Source organism: Homo sapiens, chromosome 1 (genome assembly GCF_000001405.40).
Source record: "Homo sapiens chromosome 1, GRCh38.p14 Primary Assembly".
In the NCBI taxonomy this organism is placed as follows: Eukaryota; Metazoa; Chordata; class Mammalia; order Primates; family Hominidae; genus Homo; species Homo sapiens.
The window spans coordinates 109248639-109276400 of NC_000001.11; the positions used below are offsets into that span (position 1 = coordinate 109248639).

At 59.9% G+C, this 27762-nt stretch overlaps 1 protein-coding gene across 1 annotated transcript, besides 16 other annotated features; it reads left to right on the plus strand.

Moving 5' to 3' along the window:
* Positions 218 to 938: an enhancer, noted in NCBI's record as "H3K27ac-H3K4me1 hESC enhancer chr1:109791478-109792198 (GRCh37/hg19 assembly coordinates)". NCBI's record gives its function as "activates a minimal SCP1, AML or CMV promoter by ChIP-STARR-seq in primed H9 embryonic stem cells {active_cell/tissue: H9 hESC(primed)}" and the evidence as "EXISTENCE:reporter gene assay evidence [ECO:0000049][PMID:30033119]".
* CELSR2 (cadherin EGF LAG seven-pass G-type receptor 2) lies at positions 901 to 27113 on the plus strand. The gene is made up of 34 exons (NM_001408.3): positions 901 to 4751; positions 9794 to 10441; positions 12404 to 12626; positions 12875 to 12990; positions 13170 to 13258; positions 13649 to 13806; positions 14168 to 14331; positions 14504 to 14629; positions 14973 to 15139; positions 15440 to 15727; positions 15816 to 15990; positions 16230 to 16371; positions 16553 to 16673; positions 17097 to 17280; positions 17467 to 17568; positions 18910 to 19004; positions 19213 to 19422; positions 19943 to 20126; positions 20242 to 20370; positions 20472 to 20652; positions 20786 to 20953; positions 21056 to 21182; positions 21295 to 21495; positions 21788 to 21962; positions 22289 to 22401; positions 22579 to 22658; positions 22748 to 22874; positions 22962 to 23084; positions 23640 to 23767; positions 24002 to 24090; positions 24195 to 24389; positions 24528 to 24698; positions 24798 to 25032; positions 25384 to 27113. Exons 1-34 carry the CDS (start codon positions 1442 to 1444, stop codon positions 25409 to 25411), a joined length of 8772 nt encoding a protein of 2923 aa, NP_001399.1. The 5' UTR covers positions 901 to 1441; the 3' UTR covers positions 25412 to 27113.
* Positions 940 to 999: a silencer, noted in NCBI's record as "silent region_1144". NCBI's record gives its function as "represses an Ori minimal core promoter by ATAC-STARR-seq in GM12878 lymphoblastoid cells {active_cell/tissue: GM12878}" and the evidence as "EXISTENCE:reporter gene assay evidence [ECO:0000049][PMID:35858748]".
* Positions 1160 to 1259: a silencer, noted in NCBI's record as "silent region_1145". NCBI's record gives its function as "represses an Ori minimal core promoter by ATAC-STARR-seq in GM12878 lymphoblastoid cells {active_cell/tissue: GM12878}" and the evidence as "EXISTENCE:reporter gene assay evidence [ECO:0000049][PMID:35858748]".
* Positions 2358 to 2548: a silencer, noted in NCBI's record as "fragment chr1:109793618-109793808 (GRCh37/hg19 assembly coordinates)". NCBI's record gives its function as "represses an EF-1alpha promoter that drives an FKBP-Casp9 reporter gene in an ReSE screen in HepG2 liver carcinoma cells and K562 erythroleukemia cells {active_cell/tissue: HepG2 | K562}" and the evidence as "EXISTENCE:reporter gene assay evidence [ECO:0000049][PMID:32094911]".
* Positions 4401 to 5175: an enhancer, noted in NCBI's record as "H3K27ac-H3K4me1 hESC enhancer chr1:109795661-109796435 (GRCh37/hg19 assembly coordinates)". NCBI's record gives its function as "activates a minimal SCP1, AML or CMV promoter by ChIP-STARR-seq in naive H9 embryonic stem cells {active_cell/tissue: H9 hESC(naive)}" and the evidence as "EXISTENCE:reporter gene assay evidence [ECO:0000049][PMID:30033119]".
* Positions 4401 to 7590: a biological region, named in NCBI's record as "VISTA enhancer hs2216".
* Positions 4436 to 7590: an enhancer, noted in NCBI's record as "VISTA enhancer hs2216". NCBI's record gives its function as "enhancer in: hindbrain (rhombencephalon)[6/10] | dorsal root ganglion[9/10] | trigeminal V (ganglion, cranial)[9/10] | cranial nerve[7/10]" and the evidence as "EXISTENCE:transgenic organism evidence [ECO:0001131][PMID:17130149]".
* Positions 11107 to 11655: an enhancer, noted in NCBI's record as "H3K4me1 hESC enhancer chr1:109802367-109802915 (GRCh37/hg19 assembly coordinates)". NCBI's record gives its function as "activates a minimal SCP1, AML or CMV promoter by ChIP-STARR-seq in naive H9 embryonic stem cells {active_cell/tissue: H9 hESC(naive)}" and the evidence as "EXISTENCE:reporter gene assay evidence [ECO:0000049][PMID:30033119]".
* Positions 12169 to 12668: an enhancer, noted in NCBI's record as "H3K4me1 hESC enhancer chr1:109803429-109803928 (GRCh37/hg19 assembly coordinates)". NCBI's record gives its function as "activates a minimal SCP1, AML or CMV promoter by ChIP-STARR-seq in naive H9 embryonic stem cells {active_cell/tissue: H9 hESC(naive)}" and the evidence as "EXISTENCE:reporter gene assay evidence [ECO:0000049][PMID:30033119]".
* Positions 15078 to 15127: a silencer, noted in NCBI's record as "silent region_1146". NCBI's record gives its function as "represses an Ori minimal core promoter by ATAC-STARR-seq in GM12878 lymphoblastoid cells {active_cell/tissue: GM12878}" and the evidence as "EXISTENCE:reporter gene assay evidence [ECO:0000049][PMID:35858748]".
* Positions 15078 to 16087: a biological region, named in NCBI's record as "H3K27ac-H3K4me1 hESC enhancer GRCh37_chr1:109806365-109807347".
* Positions 15105 to 16087: an enhancer, noted in NCBI's record as "H3K27ac-H3K4me1 hESC enhancer chr1:109806365-109807347 (GRCh37/hg19 assembly coordinates)". NCBI's record gives its function as "activates a minimal SCP1, AML or CMV promoter by ChIP-STARR-seq in primed H9 embryonic stem cells {active_cell/tissue: H9 hESC(primed)}" and the evidence as "EXISTENCE:reporter gene assay evidence [ECO:0000049][PMID:30033119]".
* Positions 16506 to 16692: a silencer, noted in NCBI's record as "fragment chr1:109807766-109807952 (GRCh37/hg19 assembly coordinates)". NCBI's record gives its function as "represses an EF-1alpha promoter that drives an FKBP-Casp9 reporter gene in an ReSE screen in K562 erythroleukemia cells {active_cell/tissue: K562}" and the evidence as "EXISTENCE:reporter gene assay evidence [ECO:0000049][PMID:32094911]".
* Positions 25614 to 27645: an enhancer, noted in NCBI's record as "VISTA enhancer hs2263". NCBI's record gives its function as "enhancer in: other[4/11]" and the evidence as "EXISTENCE:transgenic organism evidence [ECO:0001131][PMID:17130149]".
* Positions 26326 to 26345: a transcriptional cis regulatory region, noted in NCBI's record as "protospacer region encompassing rs12740374 targeted for CRISPR-SNP perturbation". NCBI's record gives its function as "minor T allele positively regulates PSRC1 and SORT1 gene expression in human primary hepatocytes and transgenic mouse liver {active_cell/tissue: primary hepatocyte | liver(adult)}" and the evidence as "EXISTENCE:mutant phenotype evidence [ECO:0000015][PMID:29097363]".
* Position 26330: a transcriptional cis regulatory region, noted in NCBI's record as "rs12740374 G>T single nucleotide polymorphism; the GRCh38 assembly represents the major G allele". NCBI's record gives its function as "minor T allele positively regulates PSRC1 and SORT1 gene expression in human primary hepatocytes {active_cell/tissue: primary hepatocyte}" and the evidence as "EXISTENCE:mutant phenotype evidence [ECO:0000015][PMID:29097363]" and "EXISTENCE:natural variation mutant evidence [ECO:0001103][PMID:29097363]".

Below are 27762 nucleotides of genomic sequence, written 5' to 3' on the forward strand. Positions count from 1 at the left end.
GTGGTCCAGCTTCATGTCTGGTCCTCTTGGAGAACCCCTGGAATCCTGCACACCCTCTCAAATGAAGCTGCCTTGGAGAGGGTCAGGAGCCCGGGTACCAGGTAGGCCTCCTCGCTGGTCACAAAACTGTGGCGGAAGGAGGGGGTAGCCGCAGGACATGGACAGGGAGGCAGGAGGGGATGAGAGGCCGCCTCTCTAGACAGGACCTCAGGGGGCAGTGTAAGCCCCTTGTCTAGAATCCAGGAAGCCTGTGTTAAAGCTAGGCTCCACCGCAGCCGGCCTCCGAATCTGGTGACAGTGTGTTTGCACCACCTGGCTTCCACCCACTCTGACCCTTCTAATTTACTTCCCTGGAAAAGCCCAAGTGGTGTCCAACATGAGGCTGGGGTCATTCTTCCAACAGCCCGACCCCAAGGGGCATGCTGGTCAGACAACAGCCTCGCTGGTGGGGTGGAGGGGACGGTAGGGAGCGAGTGGGCCCGGTGACTCATTGTGGGTGCTTCTCTGGGATTTTGGAGGCTTTGTTGTGTTGCTCAGGGCCCTTTTAACTCTGTCTGACCTATGGGAGGGGACAGCAACGAGGGCTTTTATGACTGGAATGAACTGGAAACTTGGCCTCTGAGAGCCCTTAAAATGTTTTGGAAACCTCTAGGCATACTTAGGGTACTTCCACCATGATTATCATCGGCTGTGTGGCTTCCGATCGCTAATTCGCACCGGGCATCTGGCGAGGCCGGCCTGGGGAAATTGGGATGGAGGGTCCTGCTGGAGGGAATCCTGGCGCTTTGGGCGGAGGAGTGCTCTGGGTGGGGCCCACCTCCTCCAGCGCGGCCGGCGTTGCCGCTTTAAGGCGGCCGCGGCGCGAGCAGGTCTATGGTAATGAGCCGCCGCCGCGACTCTGCAGAGCTCGCCCGCCCGCCGGGGAGGCGAGGGAGCGCGGGGCTGGGCCCGGGGCCGCGGCGACAGGCAGCAGCCGCGGCGGGGACGCGGGGCGCGAGCGGGCGGCGCGGGACCGTCGGGGGCCGCCGGGGCCGGGCCGGGGTCGGGGCGCACGGCTACGCGGGCGCAGGTGGGCGATCCCATAGGGGCGGAGGGGGCACCCCGGCTCCGGAACCCGGGGCCCGGCAAGGCCAGGGGCGCCGCGGGGCCCCCGGGCGCAGGTGGTGAGTGCCCGGAGCGCAGGTGGAGGCGCGGCGGCAGCCCGCGGTGCTCAGGGTGACCCGGGAGCGGGTCTGGCTCAGGGGGCAGTGGGAGCCCGGGCTCGTCGGAGGGTGCAGCGCGGGGTCCCGCCGAGCCATCCAGACGCAGGCCCCGCGGGGCGCACGGGAGGCCCCCGGGGACTGGCGCCCTGGCCCGGGCATGAGGCGCGGCGGGGCCGGCAGGAGCCGGAGGAGGAGCCGCCGCCGCCGTTGACCCGGCCGCCGGCCGGGAGCTGGGAGAGATGCGGAGCCCGGCCACCGGCGTCCCCCTCCCAACGCCGCCGCCGCCGCTGCTGCTGCTGTTGCTGCTGCTGCTGCCGCCGCCACTATTGGGAGACCAAGTGGGGCCCTGTCGTTCCTTGGGGTCCAGGGGACGAGGCTCTTCGGGGGCCTGCGCCCCCATGGGCTGGCTCTGTCCATCCTCAGCGTCGAACCTCTGGCTCTACACCAGCCGCTGCAGGGATGCGGGCACTGAGCTGACTGGCCACCTGGTACCCCACCACGATGGCCTGAGGGTTTGGTGTCCAGAATCCGAGGCCCATATTCCCCTACCACCAGCTCCTGAAGGCTGCCCCTGGAGCTGTCGCCTCCTGGGCATTGGAGGCCACCTTTCCCCACAGGGCAAGCTCACACTGCCCGAGGAGCACCCGTGCTTAAAGGCTCCACGGCTCAGATGCCAGTCCTGCAAGCTGGCACAGGCCCCCGGGCTCAGGGCAGGGGAAAGGTCACCAGAAGAGTCCCTGGGTGGGCGTCGGAAAAGGAATGTAAATACAGCCCCCCAGTTCCAGCCCCCCAGCTACCAGGCCACAGTGCCGGAGAACCAGCCAGCAGGCACCCCTGTTGCATCCCTGAGGGCCATCGACCCGGACGAGGGTGAGGCAGGTCGACTGGAGTACACCATGGATGCCCTCTTTGATAGCCGCTCCAACCAGTTCTTCTCCCTGGACCCAGTCACTGGTGCAGTAACCACAGCCGAGGAGCTGGATCGTGAGACCAAGAGCACCCACGTCTTCAGGGTCACGGCGCAGGACCACGGCATGCCCCGACGAAGTGCCCTGGCTACACTCACCATCTTGGTTACTGACACCAATGACCATGACCCTGTGTTCGAGCAGCAGGAGTACAAGGAGAGCCTCAGGGAGAACCTGGAGGTTGGCTATGAGGTGCTCACTGTCAGGGCCACGGATGGTGATGCCCCTCCCAATGCCAATATTCTGTACCGCCTGCTGGAGGGGTCTGGGGGCAGCCCCTCTGAAGTCTTTGAGATCGACCCTCGCTCTGGGGTGATCCGAACCCGTGGCCCTGTGGATCGGGAAGAGGTGGAATCCTACCAGCTGACGGTAGAGGCAAGTGACCAGGGTCGGGACCCGGGTCCTCGGAGTACCACAGCCGCTGTTTTCCTTTCTGTGGAGGATGACAATGATAATGCCCCCCAGTTTAGTGAGAAGCGCTATGTGGTCCAGGTGAGGGAGGATGTGACTCCAGGGGCCCCAGTACTCCGAGTCACAGCCTCGGATCGAGACAAGGGGAGCAATGCCGTGGTGCACTATAGCATCATGAGTGGCAATGCTCGGGGACAGTTTTATCTGGATGCCCAGACTGGAGCTCTGGATGTGGTGAGCCCTCTTGACTATGAGACGACCAAGGAGTACACCCTACGGGTGCGAGCACAGGATGGTGGCCGTCCCCCACTCTCTAATGTCTCTGGCTTGGTGACAGTACAGGTCCTGGATATCAACGACAATGCCCCCATCTTCGTCAGCACCCCTTTCCAGGCTACTGTCCTGGAGAGTGTCCCCTTAGGCTACCTGGTTCTCCATGTCCAGGCTATCGACGCTGATGCTGGTGACAATGCCCGCCTGGAATACCGCCTTGCTGGGGTGGGACATGACTTCCCCTTCACCATCAACAATGGCACAGGCTGGATCTCTGTGGCTGCTGAACTGGACCGGGAGGAAGTTGATTTCTACAGCTTTGGGGTAGAAGCTCGAGACCATGGCACTCCAGCACTCACTGCCTCGGCCAGTGTCAGCGTGACTGTCCTGGATGTCAACGACAACAATCCAACCTTTACCCAACCAGAGTACACAGTGCGGCTCAATGAGGATGCAGCTGTGGGCACCAGCGTGGTGACGGTGTCAGCTGTGGACCGTGATGCTCATAGTGTCATCACCTACCAGATCACCAGTGGCAATACTCGAAACCGCTTCTCCATCACCAGCCAAAGTGGTGGTGGGCTGGTATCCCTTGCCCTGCCACTGGACTACAAACTTGAGCGGCAGTATGTGTTGGCTGTTACCGCCTCCGATGGCACTCGGCAGGACACGGCACAGATTGTGGTGAATGTCACCGACGCCAACACCCATCGTCCTGTCTTTCAGAGCTCCCACTATACAGTGAATGTTAATGAGGACCGGCCGGCAGGCACCACGGTGGTGCTGATCAGCGCCACGGATGAGGACACAGGTGAGAATGCCCGCATCACCTACTTCATGGAGGACAGCATCCCCCAGTTCCGCATCGATGCAGACACGGGGGCTGTCACCACCCAGGCTGAGCTGGACTATGAAGACCAAGTGTCTTACACCCTGGCCATTACTGCTCGGGACAATGGCATTCCCCAGAAGTCCGACACCACCTACCTGGAGATCCTGGTGAACGACGTGAATGACAATGCCCCTCAGTTCCTGCGAGACTCCTACCAGGGCAGTGTCTATGAGGATGTGCCACCCTTCACTAGCGTCCTGCAGATCTCAGCCACTGATCGTGATTCTGGACTTAATGGCAGGGTCTTCTACACCTTCCAAGGAGGCGACGATGGAGACGGTGACTTTATTGTTGAGTCCACGTCAGGCATCGTGCGAACGCTACGGAGGCTGGATCGAGAGAACGTGGCCCAGTATGTCTTGCGGGCATATGCAGTGGACAAGGGGATGCCCCCAGCCCGCACACCTATGGAAGTGACAGTCACTGTGTTGGATGTGAATGACAATCCCCCTGTCTTTGAGCAGGATGAGTTTGATGTGTTTGTGGAAGAGAACAGCCCCATTGGGCTAGCCGTGGCCCGGGTCACAGCCACTGACCCCGATGAAGGCACCAATGCCCAGATTATGTACCAGATTGTGGAGGGCAACATCCCTGAGGTCTTTCAGCTGGACATCTTCTCCGGGGAGCTGACAGCCCTGGTAGACTTAGACTACGAGGACCGGCCTGAGTACGTCCTGGTCATCCAGGCCACGTCAGCTCCTCTGGTGAGCCGGGCTACAGTCCACGTCCGCCTCCTTGACCGCAATGACAACCCACCAGTGCTGGGCAACTTTGAGATCCTTTTCAACAACTATGTCACCAATCGCTCAAGCAGCTTCCCTGGGGGTGCCATTGGCCGAGTACCTGCCCATGACCCTGATATCTCAGATAGTCTGACTTACAGCTTTGAGCGGGGAAATGAACTCAGCCTGGTCCTGCTCAATGCCTCCACGGGTGAGCTGAAGCTAAGCCGCGCACTGGACAACAACCGGCCTCTGGAGGCCATCATGAGCGTGCTGGTGTCAGGTAAGGAAGGGCCCAGGTGGCGCTGGGGTGGGGGTAGCTCGCGGGGATGGTCTGGGCAGCCACTGGAGGTAGGGTGCGATCCAGGAAGCAGCTACAGATCCACCTCCCTGCCCAGTGCCTGGCACAGAGCAGGAGGGGCAAGAGCCAGCTTGGGAAGAAGCCCCAGGAACCCTGGCGGCTGGTGCAGGCCCCACCTTCTGCTGGGCTGGGCTGGGCTGCTTCGGTTGGCTGCCCCCACTGTCTACCAGCCTGTGACGTGGTCGGGGAAGTGTTGTGAGGCTGCCCCGGCTATGGCTGCCAAGAATTGTGAAAAAAGGCGCGTGGAAGCCTGGGGGGCCAGGAGAGCTGGGGGAAGGGCAGAGAGGACTGTGGCGCAGGAGAGGAGGCGAGGCCAGGGCCCCTTCACCCCCATCAAGATATTCCTGCAGTCTCACACAGCCTTTGGCAGAGCTGGGGACCACGGGAGCACAGGGCTGCCGCCACCCAGGGGTCAGGACCCTGTAGTCCTCTTCTGGCCCCTTTTGCCTCCTGGCTGAGCTGCAGAATCGGCTGACAGGGACTTTGTCTAGCGCATTCTTTTCCCTCCAGGCAGAAAGAGCCTGGCCTGGCTCCCCCTTCAGAGCTCCCACAGGAAGTGAGGCCAGAGCTCATTGTCTGTCCAAACAGACCCCACTTTCAGAGTCCGTGGTTCGGGTCTGGCTTGGAGGAGGGGCTGCAATGAAGCTGGGGGGCAGGCTGAGGCCTCGTGGGCCCCCCTTGCCACCTCATGGGCTGTTCTTAGGGTGCCAGGCCTTCCTTTCCTGCTAGCTGTGACCAGCCCAAGCTCCAGGAATGGAGTGTAGGGACCAGGACAGGCCAGTGGACTGGTGAGCTTTGAGGGCAGAGACCCCAAGGCACCTTATCTGAGGAGAGAACAGAGTCCCAGGGCGTGGGAGCCTGGCCGGAACCCAGGCTGGGGCATTCCTGCTGCTTGGCCAAGCACTCAGCCTACAGACTCCCTGGACAGCAGGGCTGGGGGAGGAGAGTTGGAGGGGGTTGGTGACAGTATTCTGTCTTTTTTTATCAGCTGTGGGGAGCCAGAGGTAGCAGCAGGGAGAAGACCACACCCAAGTTGCTGAGTGCCTTCCCCAAGCCTGGGAACAACTGAGACCCTCATGAGGGGATGCTGTTAGCTGCACCCCAGGGGTGGATCAGGTCACATCCCCTCTAGGCAGCCTTCAAATCCATCAGGGAAGGGAGGAAAAGAAGAGGCTGGCAGGCCCCTACTCCCACCCCAGGGAGTGTGGCCTGAAGGGGAAGGAGGGGTATGCCAGAGTCAGGGCGTGGCCTCACTCAGGGTCCTTGCTGGACAGATGCCTCCCTGCCCCACCCTTCAAAGTAGCCACAGGAACCAGGAAGCAGGAGCTTTTCAGGGACTGTGGCTGAGGTTCTGAGCCTCCTGAGACTTCAGTTTCCCCTCCAGGAGGCGGAAGAGGGAGGCTGGAGCTCCTGTGTCCTCAACTGTGCCTGGGCACTTGAGACAAGTGGGAAGGAGGTGGGAAGGAGGGCCTCTCCCTCTGGTCCTCCACACCCAGCCTGCCTTTGGTGAGCGTGGCCAGGCACTGGCAGAGAAGCGCCCCCATTAAGCCTTCGGTCTCCCACCAGGGCAGAGCCCTAGACCTTGGTTCCCTAGTCTAGAGAAGGCTCGGGGCAACATCCAGGACGGCTCCTCCTGGCCCGGCAGCTCTGGCCCCACCCTCTCCCTTCGGCCCTGACCCTTGGAGGCAGTCACCACGGCAACCCCAAAGTTCAGGGAGGCCGGGGTGAGGGGGAGCTGACTCCCACTGCCCCTTTGTTTTCCTCCTCTTGTTCTTTGTCTCTTCTTTCTTTCCCGCCCCTGCCCATGCGGAGCCCTGCAGCACTGCCTCTCTCCGGTGCCCTCTCCCTGCTCCTGCGGCTCTCCGGCTCTCCCACTTGCCCATTGCTGGCTCCTCTCCTGAGGCTTTGTCTTCCCCTGTTTGGTCTCCGTGTTTGTGCCTCCACTCTCTTCCCTATGGCTGCAGCTGCCCCAGCCTGGGCCGATGGCTCCCCTGGAGGCTGAATTCTCCTCGCCTCTTTCTTCCTCTGCTCAGACACGCAGCAGCTCCTGTCCATGGTCTGGGCAGCTCCCAGAACAGCAGAGCCCTCTTGGCCTCCAGTCTCCGCTGGCACATCTGCCAGGGGAAGAGAGGCTGGGAGGCTGACCGGGACCTGGCACTTTTCCAGGTGTGCCTGGCTAAGCTTGGGACACAGGTGGCATTTCCTGGGGTCAGAGGCCATCCCAGCTGTTCCTTTTCTGTCCAGGAAGACAGCTCAGGCAACGTACTCCCCACCCCTGTTCCCATCCTGCCTTTGCACCTGAGGGGTGACCTAGGTCAAGGCAGGGGAGGGTGATATAGAAAGGAGAGAGCAGTGGGTTGACTGTTGGGGATGGGGGACAACAGCAGAGGGGGCAGGTGGCCACAGATGGTGGACCAGATGGGAAGCAACAGAGACATGCTGGGAGAGGGGCCCAGGCGGGGCCTAAGACGATGGCGGTGGGGGACACAGGGAGAAGTGTTTGTTCCCAGGGCTGAGGGGTGGCAAAGTTTCTCCCGCTCCATGGCCTTGGTTGCCCCCTCTCCTCTCTTAATCAGTTATGGGCACTGTGTGTGGAGTCTTGGGCTGCTTTCTGCCTGGAGGGAATATCCCGTCAAGGAATCATTAGGCAGATATACCAGGTATACAAGAGCTCTGTGCCAGCTGAGCATCCTGGTGCGGGGAAGTCTGAAACGGAGAGGAAAGTAGAGCCTGATGACATAAATCTGGGCAGGCTTCCTGGAGCAGGTGAGCTAGGGCAGGTTAGAAGACTCAGAGGACTGTGGGCTGGTGTCTGGGTGGGAAGGAACAGCCTGTGCAGCAGCTTTGAGACGAGAGCAGGAGGAACAGAAGTGGGTGATGACAAGCAGGCTTGCTGGTGAGAGCTAGTGAGAATAAGCAAGTGATGAGGCTGGAGGGTAGGTGGGCAGTCGGCTGAGGACATGGCTGAGATGGGGGTCTGCTTTCAGCCTTCCCGGCTTCAGCTGAGCCACCGCTGGTACAGTCAGCCACCGCAAGTAGGTACAACACAGATGCAGAATTTGTTCCCATGTCCCTTGCCTACTCCCACCCCACCCCAGAAACATGGGCTCCTGCCCCGTTACTGCTAGGGTAAGCATTTGCTTTTTATATCTAGTTGGGCTCCCCCTGCTATGTGGTTTTGTTTGTTTGTTTGGGACAGAGTCTCACTCTGTCACCCAGGCTGGAGTACAATGGCGCGATCTCGGCTCACTGCAACCTCTGCCTCCTGGGTTCAAGCAATTCTCCTGCCTCAGCCTCCTGAGTATCTGGGACCTCCTGAGTAGCTGAGATTACAGGCACCCACCACCACGCCCAACTAATTTTTGTATTTTTAGTAGAGACGGGGTTTCACCATGTTGGTCAGTCTGATCTCGAACTCCTGACCTCGTGATCCACCCGCCTCAGCCTCCCAAAGTTCTGGGACTACAGGCGTGAGCCACTGCGCCCGGCCCCCTGCTATGTTTTAAAGTCCGTTTATTCTTTGTGGAGACTGAATAGATTGTCATCCACATCTCAGTGTTTTCTGAACACCTACTATGTGTAAGGCATTGTAATAAATACAAATATGAATATGCCAGTAGCTCATGCCTGTAATCCCAGTGCTCTAGAAGGCTGAGATGGAGGATCACTTGAGGCCAGGAATTTGAGACCAGCCTGGACAACACAGCAAGACCCCATCTCTACACACAAACAAAAATTAGCCAGGCATAGTTGTGAGCACCTGTGGTCTCAGCTATTTGGGAGGTTGAGGTGGGAGGATCGCTTGAGCCCAGGAGTTCGAGGCTACAGTGAGCTATGATCGTGCCACTGCTCTCCAGTGTAGGCGACAGAGAGTCTGTCTCTTAAAAAAAAAAAAAAAAAGACTATCCCTTCTTGCCCTGTAAAGCCATTTCCTCCTTCTCCAGGCCCCAGCTTTCATTTTTTAGCTAAATAAAATTCATTCCCATGTGTATGTGCATTCAGGTGTGTATGGTATTTCTGGGCTTAGGGTGTGTGGGTGGAATGAGACACCAGCAAGTGTGTTTTAGTGCTTAGCTGTTTATAAGTGAGTGTGTTGCCTGGGGGCATAGCAGGCATTTGGGTGTAATGGTTGAGCCAAGTGGGTGATGAGTAGCTAGAGGCCCTAGGACCAGAGAAGAGACTGACTCAGTGGGGCTCTGGGGTCTCAGAGTGGAGAGCTGCCCAGGCCCTTCTATCTCTGCCTTCCGGTCCCCCACCCCGACTCACCCTGTCTCCAGCATGGGGCAGTGGGTGATGATGTCACTGGTTAACGTGGCTCAGCTGGATTTCCTGGGGTGGGGCCCCCCAGGCTACCCACAGCAGCCCAGAGAGTTGGGCGGGAAGAATGCTTTGTGTTGGATGTTGCCATGGGGATAGCAGGTCTGCGCGCCCAAGCAGCCATGGGGCTCAGTGGGAGGGGGACTAGGTGGCCCACTGACCCAGTTTACCCACTCCCCCCCACCCCCGCCAACTCCCTGCTGCTGTGGGGGAGTGGGGAACACAGCCATGGTTGCGATTATCGTGGTGTTGAGGTGTAGAGGCTGAGGGGGCAGGGGGATGATTTTTGTGGGTCTCAGGATGCTCTGGGCCCTGTAGAAAAGTATGAAAAAGACAACATAGGGTTCCCGCGCAGGCAGCACAGACTCTGGGGGAAGGGAGCAGGAGCGGTGGCTTGGGCAGGGAAAGGTGCACAAACATTAAGAGGTGTGCCGTGCATCAGCGACAGAAGGTTTTGGGAAAGGATGCAAAGAGAACTGCAAATCTCATCCCCTGAGCCCTGAAGGAGTGATTGGCCCACACGTGACATACCTGGCTCAGCACCCTTATGCCAGTTGGAAAGGAGAGCCTTTCTTGGTGGGTGGTGCAGGAATATGCAGGCTGAATTGCAGCCCCAGGCTGGGTCCTGACTGTGTCCCTCTCCACAGACGGCGTACACAGCGTGACCGCCCAGTGCGCGCTGCGTGTGACCATCATCACCGATGAGATGCTCACCCACAGCATCACGCTGCGCCTGGAGGACATGTCACCCGAGCGCTTCCTGTCACCACTGCTAGGCCTCTTCATCCAGGCGGTGGCCGCCACGCTGGCCACGCCACCGGACCACGTGGTGGTCTTCAACGTACAGCGGGACACCGACGCCCCCGGGGGCCACATCCTCAACGTGAGCCTGTCGGTGGGCCAGCCGCCAGGGCCCGGGGGCGGGCCGCCCTTCCTGCCCTCTGAGGACCTGCAGGAGCGCCTATACCTCAACCGCAGCCTGCTGACGGCCATCTCGGCACAGCGCGTGCTGCCCTTCGACGACAACATCTGCCTGCGGGAGCCCTGCGAGAACTACATGCGCTGCGTGTCGGTGCTGCGCTTCGACTCCTCCGCGCCCTTCATCGCCTCCTCCTCCGTGCTCTTCCGGCCCATCCACCCCGTCGGAGGGCTGCGCTGCCGCTGCCCGCCCGGCTTCACGGGTGACTACTGCGAGACCGAGGTGGACCTCTGCTACTCGCGGCCCTGTGGCCCCCACGGGCGCTGCCGCAGCCGCGAGGGCGGCTACACCTGCCTCTGTCGTGATGGCTACACGGGTGAGCCAAGGGAGGGGACTCATGGGCCAGCCCTGGAAGGCTGACTGTGTGGTGCAGGCACAAATCAGGACAAATGCTGGCGGCTGCCTCATTCTCTTCCCGAGTGAGGTGCAGCTACACTGAGAGGTCATAAATCCGGCCTGCTCCCTGACAGCACCCCACTGAGGAAGGCAGTGCAAGGAGTGCTTCTCCCTGCTGTGCACAGGACACACAGGCAGTGCCATTGTGGGCAGAGCTGGCTCCAGAGCCAGTCGGCCTGTGTTCGTGTATCAGCTTTGCCGCTAGTAGCTGTGTGACCTTGAACAAGTTACTTAACCTTTCTGGCCCTCGGTTATTTGAAATGGAGATAATGACCGTACTTAGGTCATAAGTTGGTTGTGAGGATTAATGTAATTAATTTGATACTTGGAAACAGCTGGTGGCATGGAAGGTGTTGGCCTTGATTTAAGGGAACGCTGAGATTGGGTGACTTGCTCCTGGTCTCATCACACCCGGTTTAGAGGTGAGGCTGGGCCTAGAACCTGGTCTCTCCCCCACTGAGCGAGTTCCTTTTCTGAGCTGCAGCAAGTACTTTTCTCCCCAGGCATTAAGGGGAAGACACAGAAGAGCTGGGGGAACTGGAGGGGGTTGAGTTCTGAGATGGGGTGCTCCAGAAAACCATTGCACCTGTATGGGCCTGGGCAGAATGGCTCCGCCTCCGCCCAGCTGCTGGTAAAAGAGGATCCTGGCTAGGCGGCTTCCCTGTTGGCCTGTCAGCCAAGGTCTTTACACATCCTGCTCCCTGGGATGCTCACTGTCTCTGCTCTATGCTCCTGACCCCTCCCTTCAGGCTCCTGTGTCTTCTCAGGACACCCCCTGCTCCCCTTCCCTGTGGGCCTTTCCTTCCTAGATGCCCAGGCCCTGCTCCTTGTCCTCCAGGGCCATGCCCACTGGCTCTGCCAGCAGCCATAGGCAGGCCCCACTCCTTCCCCGCTGCATCTTCCTGCCCAGAACTTGCCAGACTTGACTTCTCTCTGCTGCTGCTAGGGGTGGGGGGAAGGGGAGGGACGGGCTTGGGGGAGGGGAGAGAAGTCTTTGTCCAGGAGGATGGTGGGGGGGGTTGGGAGGGGGGGGGTTAGAGCAGGCGAACAACAGTTTCCATGGAAACAAGAGCCAGTCACTAGGCACAGGAGCTGAGAACCTATCTCTAGAATCTGGGAATGGGGAGGGAGAGAAGGGTGGATTTTCCCATCTGATGTTGGAGTTTTCAGCTCCTCTGTTGAATTCTTGTCTGCTCTCAGGGCTCAGTTTCCCACTCTCAGCATGTCCCAGGTGCACAGAGGTCCTTAGTCTGGACCGCAGGGCTCAAGGTGGGAGTCCTCTGCCCCATTCCTGGGGGCTCCCCAGCTTCTCTCTCATACTCTTCCATAACCCAGACAAATCTAAGTGGAAGCCTGGTCCCATCCCCAGGGAGGGAAACTGATCTCAGTGCCTGAGAGGGACAAAAGCACCAGTGGGAAGGAGGGAGGAGGGAGGCTCCCAGCCCTCCCGCTGTCCTGCAGGCCCATCTGCTTGTGCACATTTACCCTCTTGGGGGCCAGGACACCCCCAGGTGTGCTTGGTAGTGTGACATCGAAGGCTCCCGGGATCCGGGCCTTACAACCAAGTGTCCCAGCAGGCCTGTGCTTATGAAACCCAAATGGGGTAGGGAAGGTGCTGGGGACTCCGAGGAACTTGCAGGGGAGCAGTGCGTGGAGCTGTGGCGAGAGCGGCTCAGTGAGCCAAACAGGGTGCCCATGAAGGGCTGGGGACCATAGGTCTCAGAGAAGATGGCACACGAGAGGAAGTGGGGATGCCTGGGAGGTTTGGGGAGTATTACGAGGGTCACGGGAGGCCATGGGAGCTATCACTGGGTTGTGGGGGGTCTCAGTTCCCCTCCTGTCCTCAGGTACTTGGTACTCACCTGCCTTTCCTCTTGTCCAGGTGAGCACTGTGAGGTGAGTGCTCGCTCAGGCCGTTGCACCCCGGGTGTCTGCAAGAATGGGGGCACCTGTGTCAACCTGCTGGTGGGCGGTTTCAAGTGCGATTGCCCATCTGGAGACTTCGAGAAGCCCTACTGCCAGGTGACCACGCGCAGCTTCCCCGCCCACTCCTTCATCACCTTTCGCGGCCTGCGCCAGCGTTTCCACTTCACCCTGGCCCTCTCGTGAGTGGCTGGGCACTGGGGGTGGGGAGTGGGCCTGGTGGGCATCTGAGGTGCCTCCTGTTCTGTGGTTGAAGTAAGAGGTCAGGCAGTGAAAGCGTGGAGCAGGCTGCCGGCAGAGCCAGGTCTGCTCTTGGAGTTGCCTGTGGTTCTGCCAGCAGATCTCCCTCCCCTGCGCTGGTTAGGTGGCGGGGGTGCTGGCATCCAGGTGGGTACCCCATTCCCTGCCCCCATCCCCAACTCCTGTTCAGGTTTGCCACAAAGGAGCGCGACGGGTTGCTGTTGTACAATGGGCGTTTCAATGAGAAGCATGACTTTGTGGCCCTCGAGGTGATCCAGGAGCAGGTCCAGCTCACCTTCTCTGCAGGTGATCACAGTTGCCCCCCATCCTTGCCCATCTTCCAAAGGCCCCAAGTCTTCCAGCCCCTGACCCCAAGCCACATACTCTATCAGCCAAATCTGGGCCCAGCCCCAGCCACTGGCACCCCAAACCCTGCCATTCCTAGCCCTCGTCAGGCATTCCAGCTCACCTGGTCCTTTCCCCAGGGGAGTCAACCACCACGGTGTCCCCATTCGTGCCCGGAGGAGTCAGTGATGGCCAGTGGCATACGGTGCAGCTGAAATACTACAATAAGGTGGGTGTGGAGGGCACAGAGGGTTGGGGGTTCTGTTCTTGCCTCAGGTGCTTACCCAGCCCTGAGTGGCATTGCCTCCAGGCTTGGGTGGGCTGGTCAGGGCATTTCTGGCTGAGAGGAAGGGAGCGGCTGGGAAGGTGCCACCTTGCTGGGCATTCCCACCCCACTGGGCACTGCTCGATGCTCTCTGTTCCACTAGGCAGCCGCAAACTTGGACACTGAGGAAGGTAGTTACATGCATAAACCACGTGAGCACACGTGTGTGTATATGCATGTGTGTACGTGTGTCTGGGCATGTGGGTGCACACAGAGGCACCCAGTGTGTGCTGGCCATGAACCTAGTGGGCTCTGTACTCAGTGTCCCCCTTCTCTGCTCTTTCCTGTCCACAGCCACTGTTGGGTCAGACAGGGCTCCCACAGGGCCCATCAGAGCAGAAGGTGGCTGTGGTGACCGTGGATGGCTGTGACACAGGAGTGGCCTTGCGCTTCGGATCTGTCCTGGGCAACTACTCCTGTGCTGCCCAGGGCACCCAGGGTGGCAGCAAGAAGTGAGCAGGGGAAAGGGCCAGGGATGGGGTGAAGTGAGGGCAGGGCCAGGCAGGGAGGGAAGGTGGAGAGGGTGGGCTTTTGGGGTCTCTCTCCCTTTGCCTCTCTTAGCCCCTGCTCAGCCCTGGGGATGGGGTCAAGACTGGGGAATCAGAGCAAGGCCCTGTGGGGCAGTCTGGGGAGGGGGCTGAGTGTTCGACAAGAACAGTTCCAGGTAGGGGTGACGCCCTTCCTGAGCACTGCTCTGCAGGGCCTCTTGGACACCTGCCTACGCCGTTCGTGTCTCTGGCCTGGCGGCAGAGCGAGCGGAGGACCAGAAGCTCCCAGCCCTCCCTTGTGCCGCCACCATCTTTGCTCCCCCAGGTCTCTGGATCTGACGGGGCCCCTGCTACTAGGCGGGGTGCCTGACCTGCCCGAGAGCTTCCCAGTCCGAATGCGGCAGTTCGTGGGCTGCATGCGGAACCTGCAGGTGGACAGCCGGCACATAGACATGGCTGACTTCATTGCCAACAATGGCACCGTGCCTGGTATGGGGGCCCGGGGTGGAGCCAGGCTGGGATCCCAGTGCTGAGAGGAGGGGCTGTGCCTGGTGTGAGGATGCCAGAATGGAGGGTCTCAGAGGCCTCTCTAACTGCTGCCACAGGCTTTCTCTTTAGAGCCCCAGCTCAGGTCCACTGAGCTGCCTTCTCTCCATTCCAGGCTGCCCTGCCAAGAAGAACGTGTGTGACAGCAACACTTGCCACAATGGGGGCACTTGCGTGAACCAGTGGGACGCGTTCAGCTGCGAGTGCCCCCTGGGCTTTGGGGGCAAGAGCTGCGCCCAGGGTAGGAGGGGCGGCTGTTAGAGGCCACAGCCTGGGTGCCATCAACAGTCTGGGAACTGGCAGGGTTGGGGCAGGCACTGGGCAGGGCTCTGCTGAGCGGGGCTGTGGGTGGAAAAGCGTGTCTGGGCAGAGCCCTGAAAGGGCAACACAGGAGACAAAGGGGCCAGTCAGAGGCAGGCCTGGGCACAGCGTGGGGCGGTCCCAGGGCAGGTACGCACTTTGGAGGGCGGGGCTGATGAGGGGAGTGGGCTCTGCCTCCCGTGCAGCCGCCACCGCTGAGCATCACAGCCCCAGGGCCCTCTGAGGCTCCACCCGTCACAGTCTGCCTTTTCCTGCCTCCCCAGAAATGGCCAATCCACAGCACTTCCTGGGCAGCAGCCTGGTGGCCTGGCATGGCCTCTCGCTGCCCATCTCCCAACCCTGGTACCTCAGCCTCATGTTCCGCACGCGCCAGGCCGACGGTGTCCTGCTGCAGGCCATCACCAGGGGGCGCAGCACCATCACCCTACAGGTGATGCATGGAAGGGCGGCTGGCCCTGGCCTGGCCATAGGGCCCTGGTAGCCTCTAGGCGGCTGGACAGAAGTGGCTGGGCAGGTCCTGGGCAGGGGTGGGGACATATAGAGGCCGCTGGATCCGTTGGGAAGGTCAATGCTGCCACCTGTTGGGCCTGAGGGAAATAAATACGCTTTCCTCTCTATGGCCTCAGCTGGGCAGCGGGATGGGTTTGATGGTCCAGAAAGGGGAACTGTGAGCTGGAGAACAGTGATTAAGGCCGTCTGCTGACCCTGTTTTCTTTCCTCCTGGTGTCAGCTACGAGAGGGCCACGTGATGCTGAGCGTGGAGGGCACAGGGCTTCAGGCCTCCTCTCTCCGTCTGGAGCCAGGCCGGGCCAATGACGGTGACTGGCACCATGCACAGCTGGCACTGGGAGCCAGCGGGGGGCCCGGCCATGCCATTCTGTCCTTCGATTATGGGCAGCAGAGAGCAGAGGGCAACCTGGGCCCCCGGCTGCATGGTCTGCACCTGAGCAACATAACAGTGGGCGGAATACCTGGGCCAGCCGGCGGTGTGGCCCGTGGCTTTCGGGGCTGTTTGCAGGTGAGTGTCCTGCCCTGCCCTCCCATCCCCTCCCCCACCACCTGCAGCCCCGCTCCACTGAGGGCAACACTGCTCCTGTCCCTCCCAGGGTGTGCGGGTGAGCGATACGCCGGAGGGGGTTAACAGCCTGGATCCCAGCCATGGGGAGAGCATCAACGTGGAGCAAGGCTGTAGCCTGCCTGACCCTTGTGACTCAAACCCGTGTCCTGCTAACAGCTATTGCAGCAACGACTGGGACAGCTATTCCTGCAGCTGTGATCCAGGTATGCTAAGGATCCAGGGCAACGGGCAGGTTATCAGGTGCCTGGGGCCACATGCTGGCTCTGCTGTGTGACCTGGGGCATGGGGCATCACACCACCTCTCTGAGTCTTAGTTGCCTACACAACAAAGCCATAGCCAGCTGATAGGATGCTATGTGGAAAGAAACAGATGAAGGGTTTGATGGAAGATGGTGCCAGGGGAGGGTGGGGGAATGAGCCTCTCTGGTCCTTCTGGTCCCAGGTTACTATGGTGACAACTGTACTAATGTGTGTGACCTGAACCCGTGTGAGCACCAGTCTGTGTGTACCCGCAAGCCCAGTGCCCCCCATGGCTATACCTGCGAGTGTCCCCCAAATTACCTTGGGCCATACTGTGAGACCAGGTAAGCAGACCAGGGCATGTGGCAGCAGGTCCCAGTGGCTGCTGCTTCTCTCTGGTGTGTCCCTCAGAGCCCCGAAAGCCTGGCTGATCCACAGCCAGGGTCAGAAGGGCCACATAGGGCTCACCTAGGTTAGGTGGGAGTGGCAGGGGGAGCTCATGCCTACCTGGGTCCCTCTCTGCAGGATTGACCAGCCTTGTCCCCGTGGCTGGTGGGGACATCCCACATGTGGCCCATGCAACTGTGATGTCAGCAAAGGCTTTGACCCAGACTGCAACAAGACAAGCGGCGAGTGCCACTGCAAGGTGACAGCCCCAAGCAAGCCTCCACTGTGGCCACTTGGGCCTCTGTCCACATCTCCTGGGCCCTAGAGGGCAGGCTGTAGGGATGGGTCTTCCTGTAGAGCTGAGGGCCTTGTGCCTTTGCTCTCACAGGCAGGGCAGTTGGCTGCTTACCTTCGTGTGTCTGAGGCGCAGGGGGACCCTGGGCCAATGTGTAACCCATGAGCTCTGGCCTGGTGTGGTGGTGGTTTGCAGCCTGTTCTGATTCTGTGACATCTCGCTGATGGGCTCAACTCCAAAGCATTGCTAGTGTTAATTATTTTGAATACTGCTCCTGAGGGGACCTGAGGTCGGGACCCTCTCCACAGGGGCCACAGCTGAGAAGGACCCATGAGCATCCTGGGAAGAGAGCCTGGCCAGTGACACCGTTCTTCCCTCCTTTCTCAGGAGAACCACTACCGGCCCCCAGGCAGCCCCACCTGCCTCTTGTGTGACTGCTACCCCACAGGCTCCTTGTCCAGAGTCTGTGACCCTGAGGATGGCCAGTGTCCATGCAAGCCAGGTGTCATCGGGCGTCAGTGTGACCGCTGTGACAACCCTTTTGCTGAGGTCACCACCAATGGCTGTGAAGGTGGGGCTCCTGGGATGGGTGGGCAGCCCTCCTTACAGTGTGCTAGGCACCTGCACCCCAGGAAAGCCAGGAAGGGGCTGGTTGCAGGCCTGGGGAGGCCTGGGGAGGCCTAGGGAGGGCTGGGGAGCCTGGGCAGGACAGCAGAGGGAGAGCTGCTCCTGGGTGACCATGTGCTCTTCCCCGCAGTGAATTATGACAGCTGCCCACGAGCGATTGAGGCTGGGATCTGGTGGCCCCGTACCCGCTTCGGGCTGCCTGCTGCTGCTCCCTGTCCCAAAGGCTCCTTTGGTAGGTGTTGGAGGCCCCGATGTGATGTCGAGGACATGGCCTCTGCTGTTAGTGGGATGAGGGCAGGAAGCTCCTGGCTGAAGATCCGGGGACCCCACTTTCTGGCCTCCAGGTCCTGGGATTTCATTTCCCATCTTCCTTGGTTCACATTCCCCCTTCCCCATGTTGCCCAGGTGTGCCTACATCTTGGACTGTTTTGTTTTGTTTTGGTTTGGTTTTTTTTCTGGGACAGAGTCTGTCACTGTCACCCAGGCTGGTGTGCAGTGGCGTGATCTCCGCTCGCTGCAACCTCTGCCTCCCAGGTTCAAGCAATTTTCCTGCCTAAGCCTCTGGCCGCCACCACACCTGGCTAATTTTTTTTTTTTTTTTTTTTTTTTTGTATTTTTAGTAGAGACAGGGTTTCACCATGTTGGCCAGTCTGGTCTCGAACTCCTGACCTCATGATCCGCCTGCCTCGGCCTCCCAAAGTGCTGGGATTACAGGCGTGAGCCACTGCACCCCACCACATTTTGGACTTTTTTTTTTTTTTTTTGAGACGGAGTCTCGCTCTGTCATCAGGCTACAATGCAGTGGCATGATCTCGGCTCTCTGCAACCTCCACCTCACAGGTTCAAGCGATTCTCCTACCTCAGCCTTCCGAGTAGCTGGTACTACAGGCGTGTGCTACCATGCCCAGCTAATTTTTTATATTTTTTTAGTAGAGACAGGGTTTCACCATGTTGGCCAGGATGGTCTCGATCTCTTGACCTTGTGATCAGCCCGCCTCGGCCTCCCAAAGTGCCGAGATTACAGGCGTGAGCCACCGTGCCCAGCCCACATCTTGGACTCTTAACAAAAATGCTGAAAAACCTGCACTGTGCTTGGCATAGGGCTGTGCTAGAGATTCAAAGATGAATCATGCAGGGTTCCAATCGTCAGCTCACCACCGAGTCCTGGAGTTACGCCACCACAAAGGCAGACAGTCTGGGGAGTAGGGGGTGTTGGCTGCTGACCCAGGACACCCAGCCCAGGATGGGGGCTGGCGCTGGTCCTGGACTGGCAATGAGCAGGTTCATAGGCAGGAAGTGGCGGAGAGCACAAAGTGGTGGCTGGAGACAGGCAGGATGGGGGCTCAAGGAGGTCGTATGCCCTGTTCCCCTAGAGCCCATGTGTGGACTGATCTTGCGGAGATTTTTGGCCCTGGTGTTCTACATACCTGTCTTCCTGTTTCACCAGGGCCCTTGTTTGCTAGTTACTGTCCCCGGCCCATGAGGTGCTGGCCTCCAGCAGAACCTCTCAGCCAGTCTCAGGGGCTTCCTGTGTGTCTCCCTGAGGCCGGCCCTTTTGGCTTCCTTCCCCCAGGGACTGCTGTGCGCCACTGTGATGAGCACAGGGGGTGGCTCCCCCCAAACCTCTTCAACTGCACGTCCATCACCTTCTCAGAACTGAAGGGCTTCGTAAGTGAACCCCCTCATCTCCATCTTTTCCCTGTCCTTCGTCCTGAGTCTCACTTGCCCCCACTCCCATCTTTGAGAACGGGGCTTCTGGAATTCCAGCCTGTGTGTTCCTGGGCTCCCAGCTGGAGAGGCCGTCTCTCACCTCCTGAGGTCCTTTTGCTCCAGAGTTCCTGCCCTCACTCCTGCTCCTCCGCTCCGTCCTGTCTAGGCTGAGCGGCTACAGCGGAATGAGTCAGGCCTAGACTCAGGGCGCTCCCAGCAGCTAGCCCTGCTCCTGCGCAACGCCACGCAGCACACAGCTGGCTACTTCGGCAGCGACGTCAAGGTGGCCTACCAGCTGGCCACGCGGCTGCTGGCCCACGAGAGCACCCAGCGGGGCTTTGGGCTGTCTGCCACACAGGACGTGCACTTCACTGAGGTGGGGCTTGGAGGATGCAGGGCTGGCTGGTTAGATAGGGGTCATGGTGAGTGAGCCTGCTCATGGCAACCTGGGGGGCAGAGGGGGCCCTCCCATCCCACCTACAAGGAGCTCCCTGCTGGCAGGAGGCCTCCATGAAACCCTGTGACCCCTGGCCCAGCCCTCTTCCCAACCCTTCTCATAGTAACATATGTGTGTTGGGGCATGGTCTGACCCAGAGCAGAGGCCTGCCTGTGGTACCATGGGCTGGGAGGAAGCAGTATCTCAGGACATGTGTGTGGGTCCAGGCACAGGGCTGGGAAGCTCTTATGTAGAGAATGAGGAGGAGGGCTTAGGGGCAGAGCATCCAGTGACCTGAGTGGGCAGTGCGGTCCAGGAGCATTTCAGGGGAGGCAACAGTGAGCACAGAGGGAGGGGCCTGGTGGGGAGCAGGGACTGGCCCGGGCACAGGCCGGGGCTCCATGGTGGGGATGTCAGGTGTGGGTTGTGAGCACACCCACCGTGACCTTGCCCACCCCAGAATCTGCTGCGGGTGGGCAGCGCCCTCCTGGACACAGCCAACAAGCGGCACTGGGAGCTGATCCAGCAGACAGAGGGTGGCACCGCCTGGCTGCTCCAGCACTATGAGGCCTACGCCAGTGCCCTGGCCCAGAACATGCGGCACACCTACCTAAGCCCCTTCACCATCGTCACGCCCAACATTGGTAAGGCTGGTGCCTGGGTTGGGGAGGGGTTTGTGGAGGGAGTCCCCGACAAGAGCGGCTGTGCTGGGGTCCTGCCTGCCTCACAGGTCCGATCTGTGACCATCCCCTTCCTTAGTCATCTCCGTAGTGCGCTTGGACAAAGGGAACTTTGCTGGGGCCAAGCTGCCCCGCTACGAGGCCCTGCGTGGGGAGCAGCCCCCGGACCTTGAGACAACAGTCATTCTGCCTGAGTCTGTCTTCAGAGGTCAGTGGTGGCCATGGATTGAGTTGGGAGCTGGACCCCAGTGTCTGTGCAGACTCCACAGAGAGCAGGGCCCAGCTAAGTGTGACAGTGTCCCCTCCCAGAGACGCCCCCCGTGGTCAGGCCCGCAGGCCCCGGAGAGGCCCAGGAGCCAGAGGAGCTGGCACGGCGACAGCGACGGCACCCGGAGCTGAGCCAGGGTGAGGCTGTGGCCAGCGTCATCATCTACCGCACCCTGGCCGGGCTACTGCCTCATAACTATGACCCTGACAAGCGCAGCTTGAGGTCAGCAGCTAGGGGACAGGTGTGGGTAGGGGTATGGGTCGGGCGGTGAGTGCTGAGGCATGGAGGGGGTCGGGGGCGTCTCCCCAGTCATGTGACTGCCGTGGTGACTGTGCACCTGACTGCCCCACATCAGAGTCCCCAAACGCCCGATCATCAACACACCCGTGGTGAGCATCAGCGTCCATGATGATGAGGAGCTTCTGCCCCGGGCCCTGGACAAACCCGTCACGGTGCAGTTCCGCCTGCTGGAGACAGAGGAGCGGACCAAGCCCATCTGTGTCTTCTGGAACCATTCAATCCTGTGAGCCTGCACTGCCCTCGCCCCCTCAGGCTTCGGGCTGAAAGTCCAGGCCCCTGCATGCCTCACCCTCCTTGTCTCCCTGACCCTGCCTTCCTCACACAGGGTCAGTGGCACAGGTGGCTGGTCGGCCAGAGGCTGTGAAGTCGTCTTCCGCAATGAGAGCCACGTCAGCTGCCAGTGCAACCACATGACGAGCTTCGCTGTGCTCATGGACGTTTCTCGGCGGGAGGTCGGGCCCACAGGGGCAGCTGCAGAGCCGTGGGTGGGCACCCAGGGCACGGGGCTGGGTGCTCAGGTCCTGCCCTTCCTAATTCCCTGGCCCCCTGCCACCTACTCTGCAGAATGGGGAGATCCTGCCACTGAAGACACTGACATACGTGGCTCTAGGTGTCACCTTGGCTGCCCTTCTGCTCACCTTCTTCTTCCTCACTCTCTTGCGTATCCTGCGCTCCAACCAACACGGCATCCGACGTAACCTGACAGCTGCCCTGGGCCTGGCTCAGCTGGTCTTCCTCCTGGGAATCAACCAGGCTGACCTCCCTGTAAGATGCTCCTACTGCCCAGAAACTGTCCCCACCTTCTCAGGCCGCCTCCCCAGCCCCCACTGGCAACCCCTGCTCCTGCACCATGAACTCTAATAAGGTGCCTAGTGCAGCACCTGGCCCAGGGTTTCCTCTTCTGTGGCTCCCCCGGGATCCCCCAGCACCTGCCTCTGGCCCAGGCTTCCCTGGAAGCAGTTCCCAACACCCAGGCCCTCCTCCATGCCTGACCCGAAGCAGAGCCTGTGCTCTGGGCGGGCCCCGGTCGCTGACCTGCCCTGGCCTGGGCCCTCAGTTTGCCTGCACAGTCATTGCCATCCTGCTGCACTTCCTGTACCTCTGCACCTTTTCCTGGGCTCTGCTGGAGGCCTTGCACCTGTACCGGGCACTCACTGAGGTGCGCGATGTCAACACCGGCCCCATGCGCTTCTACTACATGCTGGGCTGGGGCGTGCCTGCCTTCATCACAGGTACTCCCACCCATTCCCAGTCTTGGGGTCCCACATCCCTGGGTCCACCTTTGTGCCATGTTCTCTCCACCCACATACAGGCCCTGAGGCCCCACATCCCCATGCCCCAGGCCGCCTTATTCACAGGTGTCCCTCTGGTTTAACCCAGACTCTGCAGCCGCCACCCAGGCGTCACTCCCTTATCCTGGGGAGATCGGTAGGGGCCGATGGTGGGCAGAACCCTTTTCCATGCTTCATGCCTGGCCCTGTGAGCCCACCTGCCCGCAGCCCTACTTCCCAGGCCCCTCATCACCCCTCCACTGCTCCCGTCTGTCTCCATGCTCCAGGGCTAGCCGTGGGCCTGGACCCCGAGGGCTACGGGAACCCTGACTTCTGCTGGCTCTCCATCTATGACACGCTCATCTGGAGTTTTGCTGGCCCGGTGGCCTTTGCCGTCTCGGTGAGTGCTAGCAGGTGGGTTGGGTGTCACCTGTGGCCCTCCTTTGCTGTCCTCCTGCTGCTGGGGCCGCGTGTCCTCAGGACTCCCTTTAGGAACAGCTGAGGCCACGGGGCCCTGTGGGCTGGGTGGAAGCTGTTTGTCCCCACTGAGCACCCCATGCCCTCTGCCCCTGCCTAGATGAGTGTCTTCCTGTACATCCTGGCGGCCCGGGCCTCCTGTGCTGCCCAGCGGCAGGGCTTTGAGAAGAAAGGTCCTGTGTGAGTATAGGGTTGGGGTGCCTGGGCCATGGGCAGGCACCAGCATGGGAGGTCTCATGGCCGGACTCATGGCCTGTCCCTATCCCCAGCTCGGGCCTGCAGCCCTCCTTCGCCGTCCTCCTGCTGCTGAGCGCCACGTGGCTGCTGGCACTGCTCTCTGTCAACAGCGACACCCTCCTCTTCCACTACCTCTTTGCTACCTGCAATTGCATCCAGGTACCTGGCCCAGCCTGTGGAGAAGGGAGGCACCTGGGCTGTGGATGCCTGAATATGCACAGACCGTTGCTGCCTCTTGCCTGCCAGGGCCCCTTCATCTTCCTCTCCTATGTGGTGCTTAGCAAGGAGGTCCGGAAAGCACTCAAGCTTGCCTGCAGCCGCAAGCCCAGCCCTGACCCTGCTCTGACCACCAAGTCCACCCTGACCTCGGTGAGGGAGCCAGGGGTCTCAGGAGGGCGGTGAAGGGAGGGAGAGGCAGGAGGCCCAGTGAGCCTGTACTTTTGGCCCCACTCCCCTTTCTCTTTTCTCCATCCCTTCCTGGAAGGTGGAAGGGGAGGTGAAATGCTGTGTTCGGCCTGGGGAGGAGATGTTGGAAAGGGTGTGTAGGATTTTGACTTGAGGGAGATGGGGCTGAGACAGATAATCAGGTAATAAGTGCCTTGCACCTGAGAATCTCTCATGAATTTTAGTAAATTTTCTGTCTCCCAAGGTGCTCTCAGGAGACAATTTCTGGTCTCATCTTTTACAGAGCCATTATATAGTGAGTCCAGGATCCCTGGGGGCATGCAGGGGTAGCACAGCTGTGGCAGAGCTGTGACCACTGCCAGGCCTCAATATGGGGACAGCGGAGAAGCAGGGCCCTCTCTTTCAGACCTGAGCATGTGGAAGGTGGAACTTAGGGCAAGTTCCCTCCACCCTCCTTCTTCCCAGCCTGGGGCCAGCCATCCCACTCCCCACTTACTGACCTCTCTGTTCCCTGCCTAGTCCTACAACTGCCCCAGCCCCTACGCAGATGGGCGGCTGTACCAGCCCTACGGAGACTCGGCCGGCTCTCTGCACAGCACCAGTCGCTCGGGCAAGAGTCAGCCCAGCTACATCCCCTTCTTGCTGAGGTGAATCCCGGAGATGGGAGGGTGGAGGAGGGGAGGAGGGGCCCACGCATGCTGGACCCAGGCCAGCCAGCTGTTGGGAGTTGAGGAGCACACACTGTGGCTGACGTGGGGGCCAGCTTGGATTAGAAGCTGTAAGGGACCCACAGCAGGAACCAGGATCCCAGGGGAGAGGAGAGACTGGGACCCTGGGCAAGGGGCCAGGCTGACCCCTCCAGCATGGTCTCATCTTCCTAGGGAGGAGTCCGCACTGAACCCTGGCCAAGGGCCCCCTGGCCTGGGGGATCCAGGCAGCCTGTTCCTGGAAGGTCAAGACCAGCAGCATGGTGAGGACAGAACGCTCTGGCCACCCAGCAGGGCAGTTGGCTGGCTTTTACTGAAGGTGGGTGGAGGTGGCTGGGCTGGCTGTGATCTCTCCCTGGCCTCCTAGATCCTGACACGGACTCCGACAGTGACCTGTCCTTAGAAGACGACCAGAGTGGCTCCTATGCCTCTACCCACTCATCAGACAGTGAGGAGGAAGAAGAGGAGGAGGAAGAGGAGGCCGCCTTCCCTGGAGAGCAGGGCTGGGATAGCCTGCTGGGGCCTGGAGCAGAGAGACTGCCCCTGCACAGTACTCCCAAGGGTGGGCCAGCACTGGGGCTGTGGCCTTTGGGGCCAGTGGGAGGACAGTGGGCCTGGGGTTCTTGGGAAGCAGGACTGGGGTGGTGGCCTCCTGGCTATCTGCCCTCTGTGGGCCTCATCTACTTCCTTTCCCCACCAGATGGGGGCCCAGGGCCTGGCAAGGCCCCCTGGCCAGGAGACTTTGGGACCACAGCAAAAGAGAGTAGTGGCAACGGGGCCCCTGAGGAGCGGCTGCGGGAGAATGGAGATGCCCTGTCTCGAGAGGGGTCCCTAGGCCCCCTTCCAGGCTCTTCTGCCCAGCCTCACAAAGGTGAGTGGGGCACCCCCAGCTGCCGAGCTCCCCTAGTCAGCAGCCTCATACCTCACATTCTCCTGTGGCCGCACCTCACAGCCCCGCCCCGGCCCACAGGCATCCTTAAGAAGAAGTGTCTGCCCACCATCAGCGAGAAGAGCAGCCTCCTGCGGCTCCCCCTGGAGCAATGCACAGGGTCTTCCCGGGGCTCCTCCGCTAGTGAGGGCAGCCGGGGAGGCCCCCCTCCCCGCCCACCGCCCCGGCAGAGCCTCCAGGAGCAGCTGAACGGGGTCATGCCCATCGCCATGAGCATCAAGGCAGGCACGGTGGATGAGGACTCGTCAGGCTCCGAGTGAGTGTGGCCGGGTGGGCGGGACGGGGTGCAGCCCCTCGGAGGCCTCACCTGGGCCCAGAGCTGCCTCCGGGCCTCCCCAGGTGACTCTGGATGGCATTTGGAGGACAAATGGGCAGAACTGGCCCAGCTCCCTTACTATGCCGTGCCCACAAACCATGGTGCCTTGCGGGGAGGGCCACCCCTCCTAGGCTCTACGCGGCGCAGCCCAGCCTAGGGCAGAGTGCGGGAGGATGGGGAGCTGGGGGTGCTTTCCTGTTTCCTTCGTCTGGTGAAAGCTTTCACTCTCTCCTCTGTTTCAACTAACCCTCTGTCTGCCTTTTCTGCCACTTTCCTTTCCTGCCTCTCCAGATTTCTCTTCTTTAACTTCCTGCATTAACCCTGGGCCGTGGTTCCTACGCCCGAGGCTCCCTTCCCTTCCCCAGCCGCACTCATGCCCTGCTCCTGTCTTGTGCTTTATCCTGCCCCGCTCCCCATCGCCTGCCCGCAGCAGCGACGAAACGTCCATCTGAGGAGCCTGGGCCTTGCCGGGAGGGGTACTCACCCCACCTAAGGCCATCTAGTGCCAACTCCCCCCCCACCATTCCCCTCACTGCACTTTGGACCCCTGGGGCCAACATCTCCAAGACAAAGTTTTTCAGAAAAGAGGAAAAAAAGAATTTAAAAAAGGATCTCCACTCTTCATGACTTCAGGGATTCATTTTTTTTATACGCTGGAAATTGACTCCCCTTTCCCTTCCCAAAGAGGATAGGACCTCCCAGGATGCTTCCCAGCCTCTCCTCAGTTTCCCATCTGCTGTGCCTCTGGGAGGAGAGGGACTCCTGGGGGGCCTGCCCCTCATACGCCATCACCAAAAGGAAAGGACAAAGCCACACGCAGCCAGGGCTTCACACCCTTCAGGCTGCACCCGGGCAGGCCTCAGAACGGTGAGGGGCCAGGGCAAAGGGTGTGCCTCGTCCTGCCCGCACTGCCTCTCCCAGGAACTGGAAAAGCCCTGTCCGGTGAGGGGGCAGAAGGACTCAGCGCCCCTGGACCCCCAAATGCTGCATGAACACATTTTCAGGGGAGCCTGTGCCCCCAGGCGGGGGTCGGGCAGCCCCAGCCCCTCTCCTTTTCCTGGACTCTGGCCGTGCGCGGCAGCCCAGGTGTTTGCTCAGTTGCTGACCCAAAAGTGCTTCATTTTTCGTGCCCGCCCCGCGCCCCGGGCAGGCCAGTCATGTGTTAAGTTGCGCTTCTTTGCTGTGATGTGGGTGGGGGAGGAAGAGTAAACACAGTGCTGGCTCGGCTGCCCTGAGGGTGCTCAATCAAGCACAGGTTTCAAGTCTGGGTTCTGGTGTCCACTCACCCACCCCACCCCCCAAAATCAGACAAATGCTACTTTGTCTAACCTGCTGTGGCCTCTGAGACATGTTCTATTTTTAACCCCTTCTTGGAATTGGCTCTCTTCTTCAAAGGACCAGGTCCTGTTCCTCTTTCTCCCCGACTCCACCCCAGCTCCCTGTGAAGAGAGAGTTAATATATTTGTTTTATTTATTTGCTTTTTGTGTTGGGATGGGTTCGTGTCCAGTCCCGGGGGTCTGATATGGCCATCACAGGCTGGGTGTTCCCAGCAGCCCTGGCTTGGGGGCTTGACGCCCTTCCCCTTGCCCCAGGCCATCATCTCCCCACCTCTCCTCCCCTCTCCTCAGTTTTGCCGACTGCTTTTCATCTGAGTCACCATTTACTCCAAGCATGTATTCCAGACTTGTCACTGACTTTCCTTCTGGAGCAGGTGGCTAGAAAAAGAGGCTGTGGGCAGGAAAGAAAGGCTCCTGTTTCTCATTTGTGAGGCCAGCCTCTGGCTTTTCTGCCGTGGATTCTCCCCCGTCTTCTCCCCTCAGCAATTCCTGCAAAGGGTTAAAAATTTAACTGGTTTTTACTACTGATGACTTGATTTAAAAAAAATACAAAGATGCTGGATGCTAACTTGGTACTAACCATCAGATTGTACAGTTTGGTTGTTGCTGTAAATAGGGTAGCGTTTTGTTGTTGTTGTTTTTTCATGCCCCATACTACTGAATAAACTAGTTCTGTGCGGGTACAGCACTGTCACTGTCCGCTTCTGTGTGGTACCCTGTCCTCCCACAGGGAGGAAGGTCTGGTCTCTGGAAAACAGAAGAGCCGGCAGGGCCCAGAAGGCCCCACCGGGAGGTCGGGAGACTCAGACACCACTGGCTGATAAGCCTGTCCCTCTGCCCATGTCCATGACACTGCTCCCAAATAGCTGGATCAGCACAGAGCCCATTTCCTGGCATTTCCAAGGAAGACATGGTGGGCGGGCAGGAAGGTGTCCTTTTCACCAGGACGGAAAGGACTTCTACGGTGGGAGAGGCTGCACGGGGCAGGCAGCCTTCCAGCCCAGCCCCTCAGGGCTGAGTCCTAGACAGGGATGAGTTTTCTGGGGCAGAATTCAAGAAGCAGGGAGGGCTGCATTGAGAGGCTGGTTGGAATTGAATGGTGGTCAGTGACTCAGTGCCTCCTAACTATACTGCTCAGGGTTGTTTTTTGTTTTTTTTTTCCCATTGGAAAATGAAGCAGCTACTCATACTGAAGCCAAGTGTGTGCTTTGCAACATTACTTCTCAGCCTAAGTTTTGTTTTTGTGTATATATATGATATATATTTAAAAGTATATATGCTTTTTAAATTTAATAGAGGCGGGGTCTCACTATGTTGATCAGGCTGGTCTTG

Excerpts from the sequence above, each read along its gene's own strand:
- CELSR2 (NM_001408.3), top strand. The coding sequence starts at position 1,442 with ATGCGGAGCCCGGCCACCGGCGTCCCCCTCCCAACGCCGCCGCCGCCG. Across the intron at positions 12,991-13,169 it reads CCAGCTCACCTTCTCTGCAG|GGGAGTCAACCACCACGGTG; the intron begins GTGATCACAGTT and ends TCCTTTCCCCAG. Across the intron at positions 15,991-16,229 it reads TTCCTGCAGCTGTGATCCAG|GTTACTATGGTGACAACTGT; the intron begins GTATGCTAAGGA and ends TTCTGGTCCCAG.